The sequence below is a fragment of the Homo sapiens genome, chromosome 2 (genome assembly GCF_000001405.40).
Source record: "Homo sapiens chromosome 2, GRCh38.p14 Primary Assembly".
NCBI lineage: Eukaryota > Metazoa > Chordata > Mammalia > Primates > Hominidae > Homo > Homo sapiens.
The window spans coordinates 50,604,093-50,620,646 of NC_000002.12; the positions used below are offsets into that span (position 1 = coordinate 50,604,093).

At 36.3% G+C, this 16,554-nt stretch overlaps 1 protein-coding gene across 15 annotated transcripts in view, besides 2 other annotated features; it reads right to left on the bottom strand.

Moving 5' to 3' along the window:
- The window catches only part of NRXN1 (neurexin 1), a 1,113,630-nt gene that overhangs the window by 685,590 nt on the left and 411,486 nt on the right, over positions 1-16,554 (bottom strand). For all 15 annotated transcript variants that reach the window (NM_001330096.2, NM_001330087.2, NM_001330083.2 and 12 more), the window contains one exon: positions 15,930-16,091. In NM_001330096.2, coding sequence (NP_001317025.1) covers positions 15,930-16,091 — 162 coding nt within the window. The remainder of the gene's footprint in view (positions 1-15,929; positions 16,092-16,554) is intronic.
- Positions 9,198-12,807: an enhancer, noted in NCBI's record as "VISTA enhancer hs1348". NCBI's record gives its function as "enhancer in: heart[4/8]" and the evidence as "EXISTENCE:transgenic organism evidence [ECO:0001131][PMID:17130149]".
- Positions 11,081-11,677: an enhancer, noted in NCBI's record as "OCT4-NANOG hESC enhancer chr2:50842311-50842907 (GRCh37/hg19 assembly coordinates)". NCBI's record gives its function as "activates a minimal SCP1, AML or CMV promoter by ChIP-STARR-seq in primed H9 embryonic stem cells {active_cell/tissue: H9 hESC(primed)}" and the evidence as "EXISTENCE:reporter gene assay evidence [ECO:0000049][PMID:30033119]".

Sequence of the window (16,554 nt, forward strand, 5' to 3'; positions counted from 1 at the left end):
CCACTGGATCTGTTTCAGTATATTTACATGGAGGCTTAGGCTCTTTTGATCATTTATTCCTATAAAATGCTGATTCTATGCAGAGTTTTCTAGAAATATCCATGGCAGTGAATAATAAACAGCAGCCTTGATTAGGGTGAAGTTGTTTCCCTTGCATCATTTGCTTCTGTATCACCTTATATTTCTGTTAAAAATGCGGGTCTACTGTTGAATCAGAAGCAAGGGGGACATGAAGCTGCAGTTTAATAAGCTCTCAGATGATGCTTATGCACAAAACTCTGAACCACTGACCTACAGGGTAAAACCCAATTCCTTTCCTGCAGCAGTCACATCCTGTCATTACTTTATCCATTTCAACATCATTTATCCAAACTTTTATCCAGCACAATTATTGACCTCTTTTCCCCATGCATCTTTTCTCCAGACACACTAATTCCAGATATACCCTAAACACATCATTTATTATTTTACACCTGCACCTTTTCTCCAACTTTTCCTGTCTCGACTCTTATCTCTATTTTTGTTTACTTGGTGACATACTACTTTTCGTTCAGTGCCATACTACTTTTCTCAAATGTTACCTCCTTGGGAAAGCCTTTTCCTAAATATTTCTCAGTCACCATCCCTATACTGCGTTGCAATAGAATGTAGCATAAATCTCTCTTATAGAACCTGTTTCATTTGAATGTAATTACAATGAATCTACACAAAGGTTATAGAATACCTACTATGCCCCAAATTATACCATTAAAGAAATAAAAGTCACAATCTCTACCATCACAAAAATTACTATCCAGCTTTTTTCAACCCAAATCCTCATCTGAAACAGAGAAAACAGAAAGGTATTTGAGTATTTCCTCAATTCTCCCAAGGAGGATACATAACTAGCACCATTACATACAACAGATGTCTTAGGGCTTTAGGGTTTCATCTACTTGGGAAACCCCAGTTGATCAAATACTGGTAAAATTACATTACAGTAGCAATAAATGCTATGATAGAGATAATTCAAAGGTGAGATGAAAAAGCAGAAATATCTAATTGAGTATGTGTTTATCTCTCCTCAACCATGTCTTAATCCTGTTTCTATGCTTATTTAGCATCTAGATCAGTGCCAATTATGTTGTGGTCATTGAATACATTTTATTATTGAATTAAAGGCATTGTAATTCATTTTTATTAGTGTGACTCTTTGGAATCTGGCCGAGGCAATGTGAATTATCCATATTTGTAAATCCAGCATCTAGTCAGTGCTTAAGATACTGTTGGCACTCAGTGAGGGCTTGTAGAATAAATGAACACATTTGGAGGAGTTGCCCTATTCTCCAGTAGAAACTCAATAGCAATGACAACAATAACCCAATTAAAAATGGGCTACGGACTTGAATAAACATTTCTTCAAAGAAGAAATACAAATGGCCAACAGGTATGTAAAAAGATACCCAACGTCAGTAATCACCAGAGAAATGCAAATTAAAACTACAGTGAGATATCACCTCATGCCTGTTAGGCTGGCTATTATTAAAAAAGACAAAAAAGAAAAAAACAACAACTGTTGGAGAGGATGTGGATAAACTGGAAGCTGTGTACACTGTTAGTGAACATGCAAAATGGTGCAGCTGCTCTAGAAAACAGTATGGAAGTTCCTCAAGAAAATAAAAATAGAATTATTATATCATGCAGCAATCCCACTTCTGAATATTCAGCCAAAAAAAAAATGAAGTCAGAATTTTTAAGAGATATTTGTACTCCTATGATCACTGTAGTAGTCTTCACAATAGCCAGGATGAGCACACAACCTAAATATCCATTGATGGATGACTGGATTTTTTAAAATGTGGTATATACATACAAGGGAAAATTATTCCGCCTTAAAAAAGAGAATCAGCCAGGAGCCTGTAATCCTAGCACTTTGGGAGGCCAAGGCAGGCAGATCGCTTGAAGTCAGGAGTTCAAGACCAGCCTGGTCAACATGGTGAAACCCCATCTCTACCAAAAAATACAAAAATTAGCCAGGCATGGTGGCATAGGCCTATAATCCCAGCTACCTGGCAGGCTGAGGCAGAAGAATGGTTGAACCCGGGAGGTGGAGGGTGCAGTGAGCTAAGATTACGCCACTGCACTCCTGCCTGGCCAACAGAGTGAGACTCTGTTTCAGAAAAAAAAAAAAAAAAAAAAAGAAGGAAATCCTGCAATATATGTCAACAAGAATGAGCCTGAGGACATTATGCCAAGTGAATAAGCCAGTCACAGAAAGATAAATACTGCATGATTCCACTTACAAGAAATATCTAAAACAGTCTATGTCATAGAAGCAAAGAATAGAATTGTGGTTGCCAGGGCCTGGGGCAAGGGAGAAATGGGGAGTTGCCAATCAATAATTATAAAATTTCATTATGCAAGAAGAATAAATTCTAGAGATCTGCTGTATAACATTGTGCCTCTACATAACAATACTATATTGCACATTTACATATTTGCTAAGTGGGTAGATCCTATGTGAGCTGCTCATACAATAATAATAATAATAATAATAATAAAATAAAACTTCTTTCATATATTAGAATATATTCATTTGGCTAGATGACATAGTTATCTTTTCCCAAGCCACCCATCAATTTTACAGTCAGTTCTTCCCTCTCAGTAAGATTGAAAATTAAAGAATAATAAAGTTTTAGAATTGAAAAAAGTGATAGTTTTAATTTGAGGATCAGAAGTAATACTTAAAGAAAAACTACTAGGAATGCAAAATTCTTCCTTTGTGGTTAATCTACATTTATAACTATTCCACTTGACATTTAATTGCTTCGCGTGTTATGTGTATTTCAAAGACAAAAAGAAAGAGTTTATTAAGACTGCAAATGAAGTGAAAAAATGCTGCATTTTTCTGGGTGGACAGTAGGGGTGGTGGTGGTATTTTCAGTGTTATTGTCATCTAACGAAGCCTAATTTAGTTTGAATATATATTTTGGAACAAATAGCCTCCAAACACAAATTCAGTTTAGGGGAAGATAGTGTGAAAAGGGATAAAATGCCATAAAATTCTGATGTCCTAAAGAAAATGTGAGAGTCTGGGACACCTCCTTGTTCTCTGCAAAGCCTGCCGCCAGCTCACTTCAGACAAAGTTGTCTTTTTATAAACATGATGTAAGCATACACTCACAAGCTCTCTGGAAATAATGATGTTTCTACTTGTGTCAGTTAAAGGCATCCCTTTGTTCATCTAATCACCAAGAAAATTTCAAGGCAGGTGTGCTTCAGTTTAGAGAGGTGCCGTACTTCATGGGTGCCTCTAAGGGACTCTTTACAAAATTCATGCTGCAGAAGCAGCATTCCCCTAAATGGTTGCTTAAGACTGCAAATCCCCAACTGTCCAATTTATATCCAAGGAAGAGTTTACTTTCTTTAGGGCATAAGCCATTATATTACAAAGTCATTAAAATGGAAATAAATACATAAGTTAGCAAATTGTGGTAAGGTAAAATAATCTTATATAAACCATGGCCTAAAAATAAAGAATATATACAGAATTCAGCATGAGGATATTACCATACAGAAATGATAATTAACCAAAGTAAACCTGCACACAGTGATTTTCTGCATTTTGGCAAGTGAAAAATTTTTGCTATGAAAGCAGGACTCTAAAAATCAAAAAAAAAAAAAAAGTAAAGGAGACCTAGTTTTGAATTGATATTAAAACACACAGGCATTTTACTTTAATGGTCATGGGCTTAGGTCCAACTATTTCAGAATCCAAAGCTTATTACTTAGATAGTCAACGCACATCATTCCAAGACTGCAGCTGCTCCTAATTTGGATTGTTAGGGGATTATCCCTATAAGAGTCCTCATGGCTCATCTGCCCTCAGTGTAATCAGATGAGAAGATCCTGACTTCCATCTCCAGAAAGAAGGCCAAGCCCACCTGGGGCCTGGGGGTAAATGAGAAGCCCACATGGGTAAATGAGAGCTTCTGTGGGATCTTGACACCGAGATGCTGAGACTCCAACTGTAAGCCTCAGAGTCACTACTGAGCTACAAATCAGCAGTTTTACATTTATTATTTCTAAAATCTGGATTTGAGTTGCAATCAAGGTATATCCTGATTTAGATTAATTGGCAGTGTTTCGTGATCCATAAAATAATTGTGCACCAATACTGCCAATGATGACAATATAATATGGTGGTTGACGTACTCTAGCTCAGTGATTTTCAAACTTTAATATGTATATTAAATCACTTGGGGATCTTACTAAAATGTAGACTCTTTCAGTAGATCATGGGAAGGGGCATGAGTCTTTTCATCTTTAACAAGCTCTTAGGTGATGCACATGCTGCTGGTTCACATCCACAGCTTGTTTAGTAAATCTCTAGGTATGCTATGAGTTGTTCATGGGCTTTATTTCCTTTTAAACTACCTAAAAACTACAGCTTTTAGTTACATGTCCTTGTTTAAAAATTGTTCCTATATCTTCTATGTAGCTTTATATGCACATATTGTTAAACAGATAATAAACCAAATAATTATTAAATAATAACTAAAGGTAATGTTAATGAAAGATTGGTTTCAATCCTTGATGATCACACCTTATAGCCTGGATACCTTGGGGAAGAAAATGTTACTGAATAAGGTCAATTTACTCTTTCAAACAAACATTTCAGACGCTCATATGAGACTCTGCTTGGTTTACAGGTAGTGAACACAGGCAGGGAAGACTAATTGCTTCTGAAAAATAATGCGAAATGAAATCTGATGATGACAATGATAACATTCTTAAGAACTAAAATAATTACTTGTATTTGAACTATAAAAATTAACTGACTATTCCCAATTCAGTTCCTTTACAAGGTACCCATATTTAAAAAAAAATCCAGTTTCTTATTTATCTCTACCAATTTTTGATACATTAGATAGTGGATGTCATCATTTAGGATAGCAAAATGGAAAGCACACTGGGCTTGGAGTCAATAAACAGAGGTTTCCTTCTGACTTTTTTCACATATTAGGGATATGGCTCTGATAATATTATGTATGATTTGTGGTCTCCAAGTTAATTCAATTTTCTCACAAAGCTCTTAGAACAATTAAATGAAACAACTTTTAATATGAGACAATGTGTGCAAAATCTCATAAATTCATCTGCAACCAGGACAATTCACATATTTGTAGGGGTCAGTGTAAAATGAAAATGAGAAGCCCTCTGTTCAAAAGTTATTAAGAATTTCAAGATGACAAGAAGAAGATATTAAATGAAGAGCAGGGCCCTTCTATGTGTGGAGCCCCATGTGACTGCATAGGTTATAAGTCCATGAGAAGGCCCTGTCTGCAAGATAATTGTAGCTAATCCTCACTATATTAATAGAGTATTAATAAAGTTTATACTTGATTGAGATATTACAATATACCAGGCACTACTCTCAGAGCCTCAATTACATAGTCTCACTTAATCCTTTACAGGGGAAAGAAACTGAAGCACAGAAACATCAACTATCTTACCTCAGGTGATACAACTACCAAGTTTAAGGGAGCCAAGATTGGAATCTGGGAGTGTCTGATTCTAAAGCCATTCATCTTAACTAATTTAATGCAATGAGTTATCTATAAAAAGTTATTGTTATTCCTGTTTAATTCAAATTTAGAAACCTAGGCTCACAAAAATACGTCCATATTTCAAGGGCAATTCACTTACTATGACCTTGATTAAATGACCTATGTCAACCTAATTGTCTTATATCCCTAGTACTCCACAGAGAGCCTGGTACATAGTCCATTGTCATGTACTATATATAAAACTAAACACTCAGTCACCAATTTTTCTGTGCACAGAATATTTACTCCACAAAGATAAAAATCTCATTTTCCTATTATTCAAAATCACATGCTTCGGAATAAGAGTATTATTTTCATTTAAAAGCAATTAATTTGTTTTAAATGTGTTTCAAGAGTGATGATTTTCCTGGGGAAAAAAAGACACCAATTAACATGCACAGAAATAATTTCCTTCCAAACATAAGGACTTTGATCCAAAGATCTAAAGACAAGAGTATATCATCTCATAATAGAAATTAAGAGGAACTCCAAAATACTCATTTTGTTTTGGATGAACTTCAGATTTTTAAAAAATATGGCTCAAACTTAGTTAAGTAACAAACTTAAATTTATATGAAGGTGTTTTTCTTTTTCTTAGCAATGTGTTTTCTGATCCTTCATCTCATTTTATCTTTCCTATTCTTTTCCAATTGTGATAGTGGAACTAATTCACTGAGCTTCAGTCCCATACAATATCATGCCCAGTATACAACTGAGCAGAGAGACAAACTCAGATTACTTGATTACCTTGTCTTTGAAATTATTACTAATGTCCTCTGCAAAGCTAATTACAGCTTCCATTGTATTATTAGAGAAATTTTTCATACCTCACTTAGGAAGCTTGTATTGTAAATCTATACTTATTTGCCCAACTCTCTCTCCAGATTCCTGAGTGCATTATCTTACTCATCTATGTGCCCCAGTGTCTAGCACAGAGCCTGGCACATACTATAAATAGATACATATATATATATATATATATATATATATATATATATCTGTACAAAACAGAATAGCCAGATCACTTAGCCCATATACTATAGTCATTACTAGAACATAGCTTGTAATTATATTTATATATATATATATATGTATATATATACACACACACATACATTTATATATATTTTTTGAGACAGTCTCGCTTTGTCATCCACGCTGGAGTGTAATTGCACGATTTCGGCTCACTGCAACCTCTGCCTCCTAGGTTTAAGCAAGCACGTTTCACTAATTTTTTGTATTTTTAATAGAGATGGGATTTCACCATGTTGGCCAGGCTGGTCTTGAACTCCTGATTTCAAGTCATCTACCTGACTTGGCCTCCTGCAGTGCTGGGACTACAGGCATGAGCCACTCCACACCTGGCCCATACTAGATAGTTTTAATGTTGATTAACATAATGCACACATGCAAGTGTTAATGCATAAGCAAATGGAGCAATTTAAACAAGATGCTCTGGTAGGTGCTGAAATTAAGAGAAAATGTTCAGTCTCAGACATTGTTCATTGCTGCTTTCTACTGGGCTGAAAAATGTCATATTCTATAAAATGTATCAAGTCCTCAGAATTAAAATGTCACTGAACCCCCTGACAGACCATGCTATGCTAGCTTGATATTTGAAAGCACTACAATTCATTATGCCAACTGCTGATACTGTTCCAGGCTATGGGGCATCTGCTGAAAATGATGGGAAATAAAAATCTGTGGGTCCCCTGGAAAGGAAAGATTCTATGTTTGAAAAGCTGAATTCCAGACAAGAACTCACCAGATGCTTTGTGGACTGAAGAGCTGGGTTCCATTTCCTTGGGGACCTGAGCAGATGGGACTCCCTGAATCCACTTTCAAAGAGGAGTGTCTATGGCAAGGTGCCTGGTTTCTGCCCCAATTGTTTATTTCCCTTGCCTCCAAGGCTACAATGCACAGAAGTGAACTTATCCTTAGCAATGTATAGAGCCAATACTTTAGAAAATCTAAAAATCTAGAAAGTACTTCCAAATGTGTTTTCTGTGCATTCCTGTTTGTATGGCTGGCTACACAGTATGGAAAATAAAGCAAGCATTATCTTAGTTTGCCTTAAGAGGAGGAAAAGTGTGCAGGCTGCCAGAGTAGGGAAGAGGTTCACAGAGGTAACAGCTCCAGACCAATTCAACCCGGGGAGTGGGAAAGATTCCACTGAAAGCTCATATATAACTAACTGGGCATCTGAGAAATATTTCCTGCTGCTTCTTCTCCCCAATCAGATCTTCCCTTCTCTGACATCCCAGCAATCTAGGCTGCATTTTTCTGTTTTCTTTTCCCTAAAGGTTCCTACGAAGCTCATTTCGTCTAATTTTATCTTTATAAAAATACTGAGAATGAGAGAAGTGAAGTGAGATTGTAATATGATACGGGGAGCAACACAGAGTGGCAGTTACGGGCAAGGATTTCGCTCTCAGATTATTTGGGTGGGAGCTTAGTTTTGTTACTTACTAATTATTTTCCCCTAGGTCAGTTACTTCACTTTTCCTATCTCCATGTCTTCATTTGCCAAATAGGGATAGTATTTATGTGTACCTCTTTTCATGCTTAGAGTATTACCTTTGCAATTATGAAGCTCTGAGAAACTGGTGGTGCATCCCTCTCTGCAATATAATAATCATAATGTATTCAAAAAAGGGCTAGTAAAGACAAAATACCAGAAATCCACCAAAAACTTGTTTTTTTTCTTCTTCTTCCATTACTCCCTTTCTGATAGGTTTGAAATACCAAGTATCAAATTATTTCACACAGTTTCATGGATTTGTTTTTGCAAAGTTGTTGTTTTACTGTGTTCCTGATGCCCCCAGGCACATGCCTCTTGGGTAACTCACTGGATGTTGTTGAAATTTTATGAGAAATAAAAAATGCTTAATATGTTATTATTATGCTTTCTCTGGAATATGCTGACTCCCTTACCCCTTCAGCAAAAGCTCCTACTTTTCATGTACATTTGTATAGAGCCTAGTACAATCATAGGCACATTGAGGCACTACAGTGTTTATGCCATGGGGGTTTGTTTGAATGATCTGATGCAGGTAAAGTGCTCTACTAACAGGACTATCAACTCAGGGATGGCACTCACAGCCATGTGTTCTGTTGAGGTCTCATGAGTTCTCATTTGCATAAGGGAATGATTATTATTAACCTGCGTGCGTTATTGTGAAGACTTTTAAAAGGAAAGGAGGATTTTTGCAGTCTACTATTCTACACATGAAAGGAGGCAAGGGTAATCGACCTCTGCATTTAAGTACTGACACTATTACAGTAGAAGGACTGAAATACATTTCAATATTTCCGAGATCTAGAAGAAACTAGGCTGGGCCTATAACAAACTGGGTTAATGACACATAAGAATTTGTCAAAGCCTTTGACATTTCCACAAACCCCATCTAGCTTTCTTGTTAAAGTTTTCAAAGCAAAACTATCATCTTCCATGTTTTAAATCAGGTAGAAAAAAAATTTCTTTCTATACCTGAACTTCTGCCAAAAACATTAAGCCCATTTGCCTATTCTAGATGGGCTAAACCAGCCTCTCTCTGAGTCACTAAACCAAGACCTTGCCTCTAGGAATACAGCACAGAGAAGCTAGAAAATTGTCATTCAGCCCCAAGCCATCATCTCTAGTGCTCACTAGGCTGTACAGAATAGAACAGTCAGAGCACTTAGCTCAAATATATACTATTGTTATTATTAGAACATGGCTACTTTGTGAGTCAGCCCATTCCAGCTGACACAACAAAATGACATACTGTATAGTGCATACTGATCCTACATGAAACACTTTTAATATAAAAGTTAGCCTGTAGCCACAGTCAGTCCACTGGTCAAAAATTGAGCATCTGCTGCGTATCAGCCTGGCCAATGCATGAGTACTTGAGTGAAGGGACTTCTTTGCATTTTCTCATAGGCTATTAATCTTGCGGGCATTAGCAAAATCTATCTTAAAATGATTCATACAGGCCAGGTGTGGTGGCTCACGCCTGTAATCCCAGCACTTTGGGAGGCCCAGGTGGGTGGATCACAAGGTCAGGACATCCAGACCATACTGGCTAACATGGTGAAACCCTGTCTCTACTAAAAATACAAAAAATTACCCGGGCATGGTGACGGGCACTTGTAGTCCCAGCTACTCGGGAGGCTGAGGCAGGAGAATGGCGTGAACCCAGGTGGCGGAGCTTGCAGTAAGCCAAGATCATGCCACTGCACTCCAGCCTGGGTTCATATAAGTGAAGATGTATCACCACATAAAATCAAGGTAGTATTATCCATAGTTCTATAATGATATGGTAAGTAAAAATATGTGGATCTGTATGGAAAATGTTTAGGAAAAAGTGAAGTGGGAAAGCAAAAAGCAACTGTCTTCCCGAAAGAGTGAGGGATGAGGCATATGGGAAGGTCAATGTAAGTAAATTGTAAAATGGTACCAACCAGTATATGGACCATGACAAAATAATAAGAGAAGAGAGGCAATAAGTCAGGGACCTCAACAAGGAAAAGTCTAGAGGAAATGAAAACCTGGGGATAAATTGTTTAATCATGACTTTGGAATCCATGTGAGTTCTCTGCCAACTAAAGTAGCCCTCCCTCCTCTCATCTGGCATGATTTCCAGACATCACTGAAGATCTCTTTTTCCTCCAAGTTCCTGCTAGGTTAATTTATCCATCAGGTCCAAAGCCTTTTATCCCAAAATTGGAATAAATTGGAATGCAAATTCTGCCATGAGATTTTGTTCTTACGTGTAAATGACAGATACTCTATTCCTCTCTGAGCAAACAGGAAAATAAGCAAAAAAGGGGAGGAGCGGGGAGGGATAGCATTAGGAGATATACCTAATGTAAATGACGAGTTAATGGGTGCAGCACACCAACATGACACATGTATACATATGTAACAAACCTGCACGTTGTACACACGTACCCTAGAACTTAAAGTATAATAAAAATATATATATATATATATAAAATAAAAAAAAAACAGAATATCCCCTTTTGGAAGTAGAAGTAGATTAACCTATTAAACTAATATCAGCCATTCAAAAAAAAAAAAAAAAAAAAAACTTGAGGAACCAAATTTGATGAGGATGGTCAACCACAGAAGTGCATAAATTGAGAAGCCTTCAAAACTTTCTAAAACTTTCTCTGTTGTCCAAAAGAAGAAAGATAGGGATTAAGGGGCATTTGCAGGAAGGAAATATTTCATCTCTTTCCCAGTGTTGATGCTGGTACACTGTGATGTGGGCACTTCATATGGCAGAGGAGATCACACAGATTTCATTAAGGAATCAATCATTTTTTCCTCAAGGAAAGGAATCAAGCATTTTCACCAATAAGGTGAGGGAAAATGCTTACAAAAGATAGGATATTTTCCAAACCTCATCTACCTCAGTAGCATCTTCCAGATTTGTGGCAATAAATGTTTCTAAGTGTAATTAAAGGCTGAGCCGATCTAATTAGGTTGATGAAATTTTCAGTGGGACTTCATTCCCCTTAGCATTTCACTCATTTTTTTTCTCTCTCTCTAGAATACTTCCTTAGGCTTAATCTGAGCAATTTTTAGTGGCAGCATTCTAAGTTACCTCACACAGGCAGTGTCTCCACTCTGATTGTAAAACCTCCAGCAGGTACATATGACTAAAAACAAACTTCAAATAAAGGATTCTAGGTTGTTTTATTTAACACACAGTCCTTTCCTACCTCTTCAGTTTCATTTCCTTACTAACAAACTACGTTAAATAATGTTCACTCTGCAGGAGGGAAATAAGCATTTCAGAGCATTTCGGGGGCACAAAGAGACCAGGAAATGCATAATAATTGCAGGAACAGGTTCTGAGGGGGAGATTAATGAGGGAGCGCCATGACCCTTCCTGATAGGTCAGTGACTACAGAAACACTTATACGATGAAAATATTGGGATAGAAACACATACTAGTGAGATTTTCATCTATCTTTAAAGATTCTTAAAATATATCTAGTGAGCACCTGAAGAATTAACTGTAAGACTTTTCTACAGGAAAATGCTTTCCAAGTGGTCTAAGGTAAATGGGCAAGATGTCCTCATAGAGTCTGAGCATCTCAGACACCATGATTTCTCTTTCTGCAAGATTTTCTAACCTCCTCTCCTTTTGTAGCAGTCACTCAAAAACTGCTTGTTAGAAAATTTAATTAAATATAAAATGATCGAAAATTCTTAAGCAACATATATTTCAGCTCTTACTCAGTGTTATCAAAATGCAAATAATATAAACAAGTATTTCTGTCAAAACAGTGTTGCCTTTGCAAAAATCAGATTTAGAAAGCATATTTTTTTAAAGACCTATTATCTTCTAAGAATTTCATAGGTATGGGCTGCATATAATGGCAATTTATTATTTATAATTTTTCTTTAACTCTTTTTTTTCAAATTTAAACCTGTGAGTCATTTTTCAATGAGTACAGATATTTTCCCAGACTTTGATTTACTTGTGATGAAAATATGAATTATTTAAAAAAAACTACTTTGATCTCTATTTGAATTCCCGGCCATTCAAAGTTCCTTGTCATTTTAAACAAAGCACCATATGAAGTTCAGGTTAGGTTTTACCAAATTATTTTGAGCTAATCTTATTTTATTTTGAAATTTGATAATCACATACACAAAAGTAACTTTCCAATTGAGGGTTAGTTGTTCTACGTGCAAGCAAAGTCTCATTTCAAATAGACATTATTAAATGCCATATAGGGAAAGACCTAAGTTGCTTCTAAGGAATATGAGATTATAGGTTGTTTCAATATGTTGAGTGATTTCCTTTTTTTTCTTTAATCTGTAAAGAATAAATGTGTAAATTCGTGAGAGTGATATTTTTATGCCTTGAATGCCATTGTTTACAATGAAATAGAATCGGCCATTTAAATATTATATTTTCCTTGATAGGGTTCTGTATTCTAATCCTGCTGGACCCCCTTATTACTCTTGGTCAAGTAACTTCTCTAGGTCTGTTTCCCCAAAGGAAGAAAGTTGAACTTAGAAAATGATTTCCAGGATCCTTTCCATTCTAACACTCCAAAATTTCTTCCATGACTTCAGACAAGGTGTTATTAGAATCTCCTTCAAGACTGGTTATGCTAAGAGGCACTACATACTAGACTGAAAATAAAAATGCCATCAGCCAATAAATGAAGTCATAATTAAGGGTTTACACATGCAGTGTGCTATCGACCAGGAAGTCCAAGCTAGAGTTCAGGAAAATTTACATAGATTTTACTGTTAAGAGAGATTCTGTGAGAATGAACATGGGTATATCCCTCTCTTTTCAGTAACTTCACAAAGCTGACCTATTTGAAGTAGGGTGATTTAACTCACAATCCATGATACTTTGTCACTATTTCATTTCAGAAGTAACAAGAGCAGGGCCTTCTAAATAGATAATGGTTCAGACAGGATGGAAACTATCAACAACTAAAAAGCCCTCCAAAGTGCTGGGATTACAGGCATGAACCACGACACCCAGCACGTTGGGAGGCCAAGGCGGGCAGATCACTTGAGGTCAGTAGTTCAAGACCACCCTGGCCAACATAGAGTGAAACCCGTCACTACTATAAATACAAAAATTAGCTGGGTGTGGTGGTGCATGCCTGTAGTCCCAGCTAACTTGGGAAGCTAAGGCAGGAGAATTGCTTGAACCCAGGAGGTGGAGGTTGCAGAGAGCTGAGATCATGCCACTACACTCCCCTGGGGAACAGAGCAAGACTCCATCTCTTAAAAAAAAAAAAAGCCCTCCAAGTGAGGTATGTTTTGATTTATAGATTAATTGTGCTGATATCCTTCCAAACTCCAGTGCATCAGAAGAAGTAAAATGAAAAAGATTACACAAGTCAAGAAAAAAGTGACCGTGCTTCCTCAGACACACACCCCAGATGGGGAAGACAGAGTTGGAAAGTGTCCAATCAATAAAGAAGAGTGAATTGTATCCAAACCCTATAGTGACAACAGCACAAGTGAATCCTCCTTTTATGAGTTTAGCCACTGTGAACTAACATGTCACTTGGAAGACCACCTAACTTATTTTTTGGTATTGTGGTTTTTCTGGTTAAAAGGCCAATATAAAAAAAAATGAATACTAAGGTAAGGAATCTTTATTTATCAATTCATAAATTAGAGGTGTTAATCTGAAGCACGGTTTAATTTGAAACTGTTATTTTAGATTAAGGCAATTAACTACAGTTTTATACACACACAGAAAAAAACTGCCTCACTTATGCAGAATTATCAGAAGATTATGTGTCTCAGCTGAACTCAAGGATTCCCTGCAGGAATTACTATTATTATTATTTGGATGCCCAAGAGTTCTTTAGTTAGATTCCCATTTCTGCTAGAGTTCCCTCGATTCCCCTTCCTTTTTCCAATCTAAGCAGGATTACTCTTCTCTGTATAAAGCAGGATGTAGGGACTGATTATACCTGGCCTGGCTCACAGTGAAAATGAGGAAGTTGGTACAGGTGATTGGGGATGCGGCTCTGCCCTCCACTTTCCATCCCTAGAATGGAGTTTCAGAAATCTTCTAAAAATATCTAATTATTCTTTTACCATACCTGATATGCTTTCTCCATCCCTGCCTGTCTAAATTAGTCACTGTTTGAGATGCTCATATTCTGACTCTTCTGTGTTTCTCTCCTTGTCTTCTAGAACTCTCACTCATCTCACCCTCTTTTTAAATCAAATAACTGTGTTAAATAATTTAATAATTCATTCCTCACAGTCTATTATTCATTTGTAAACATTGTTTTAGTTTGTAACAAATTTGAGAGTTTGTACAATCTTTTAGGAACTCTAACAAACATTTCTCTTGCAAAAGGGCTCTTAACTATGGTAGTTAAGAGCACAAGGACACTGAAATCAGACTTCCTCGATTAAGATTTAGACTTTCATACTTGTTAGTTGTGTGACCTTCCTCAAGAAACTTACCTGCCTCAAACCTCAGTTTCTTTGTCTGAAACATGCAGATAATAAAATGTCTACCTATTTTGTGAGGATTCCTGTAAAGCTCTTATAATAGCACAAAATAACAGCTCTGGAAATATTAGTACTATAATAATAATAATAATAAATAATAATAATAATAATTAGATTATCATCCTCTACAGAGCTTAACACAAACCTGGATCATACTACATATTTGTAACCAGTAAAAGTTACTTTCTGAAAGGCAATCTATCACTCCTACTACAAAGCATGGGTAGGTTTGGCCTTTCAGAACTGCACCTCTTCATGTTTGTTAAAACTATTGCACCTTTAAATCTCCCTTAGGATTATTCTATATACATCCACATACTGGGCAACAAATCAACCAGTATGTTCACATAAAGAGAAGACAGGGAAGGATAATTCAGTAGTAATTGTTTTTCCCTAATGCTTAACTGAATCAAGTTTATATGATTAAATTATTTACTTCAGAATAAACCAAGTACATCACTGCTTACCAACAGCACCTATGGCTAACAGTGAATTCAAAGTTATTTAACTTTGATGTTTAGAAATCTACACCATTAAATTGTAGGCATACAATGTAAGAGGAACCTCTGGTTCCAGTAGCCCAAAGAAATTGGATTGTGTCTGAATGAATTTTTTTAAAGACAGCTTTTATGGAAAATATTCATTAAAAAATGAAATTCAGGGACTTCTTCATCTTTCTCTCCCCAAAACCCAACAAATTCCAATCTTATACAAAGTTACAATACACAACTACAGCTGATAATGAGGGATGAAATTATTGATGTCATTTAGTTTGATGATCTTGCTCAGATAAATATCAAGTAAATTCACCAGATAACATTTACTTCCTCCAGAATGTGTTGAAAATAAGGGAAGAAAATTATGTCATTATATAGACTTATTTTGTTTTAGTTTTGTTTTGAATTACATAGTCGTTGCTTCTCCTATAGGCTAATTGCTTTTTCTTCTTTTTTCTTTTAATACTCAAAAAAGTCATCACTGTATGCATAACACCTATGGCATTTAAGTAGAAATAAGCAAGTAAACCATTTAGCTCAACTTTAGACCCAGTATCTCTTTTTGTTTGACTTTCTTTTATAGCTAATATCAACTGTCCACACAAATCTCAAATGTAAATTACTTACAGACTAATAAAGAAGAGGAACCTAATTCCTTCATAATGATCTATGAGCTGTTTCCCTCCCCCAATCCTACATAAACAATAGTAGAATATTGAATTTAAAGTTGTGCCGTTTGACTCTGGAACATCGGGTCTTCAGCAAAGGTGCTTTCATGCTGGATCTGAAATGATGAGACCATGAATTAGGAATGATTCTGATGGCAACGATATTTACCTCTTTGAGACAGCCCATAAAGTTGTTACTGACTGGTGACCCTGGAAGGTCGGCTGTGCTGGGACTGCCTCCAACATAGAAAAAGTCATCAGACCCCAGCATGGTATAATCTTCTTGCGTGTAGCCCGTTGTGGTAAGAATCCCATCCACTGATATTGTCACCTAGATAACAAAGCACAGGGAAAGGACACGCTATACTCAGACCTAGATACTGTAATCCTGGGATATGCCTGTTTTGTGTTTTGCTTTTGTTTTTTTGTTTTGTTTTGTTTTGCTTTTTTCTTTTTTTCTGTTTGTTTGGTTTTTGTTTTTAGACCTATGACGGAACCCATTTTCATGTCTGTTTGAGGTTTATTCTTAGATTCTATTCAACTAGCCCTAAGAGATCTAAACTAGTTAGAGAGTTAACTGATTATTGAACTAGTGTCAGCATCATCCCTACTGCAACTCAAAAGTTATTGAGCAGACACAAAAATGGTGTTAGTAAAATGCTTCCTAGGTTAGTTTTGCTGGTGTACATATTAGTAAGGTTTAGTTGTCTGTTATTAACTAATCACAACGTGCACCTTGTTAACATAAAAGGCGCAAGCTATTTCCAGCAACATCACTATTTGCACTATTGAGC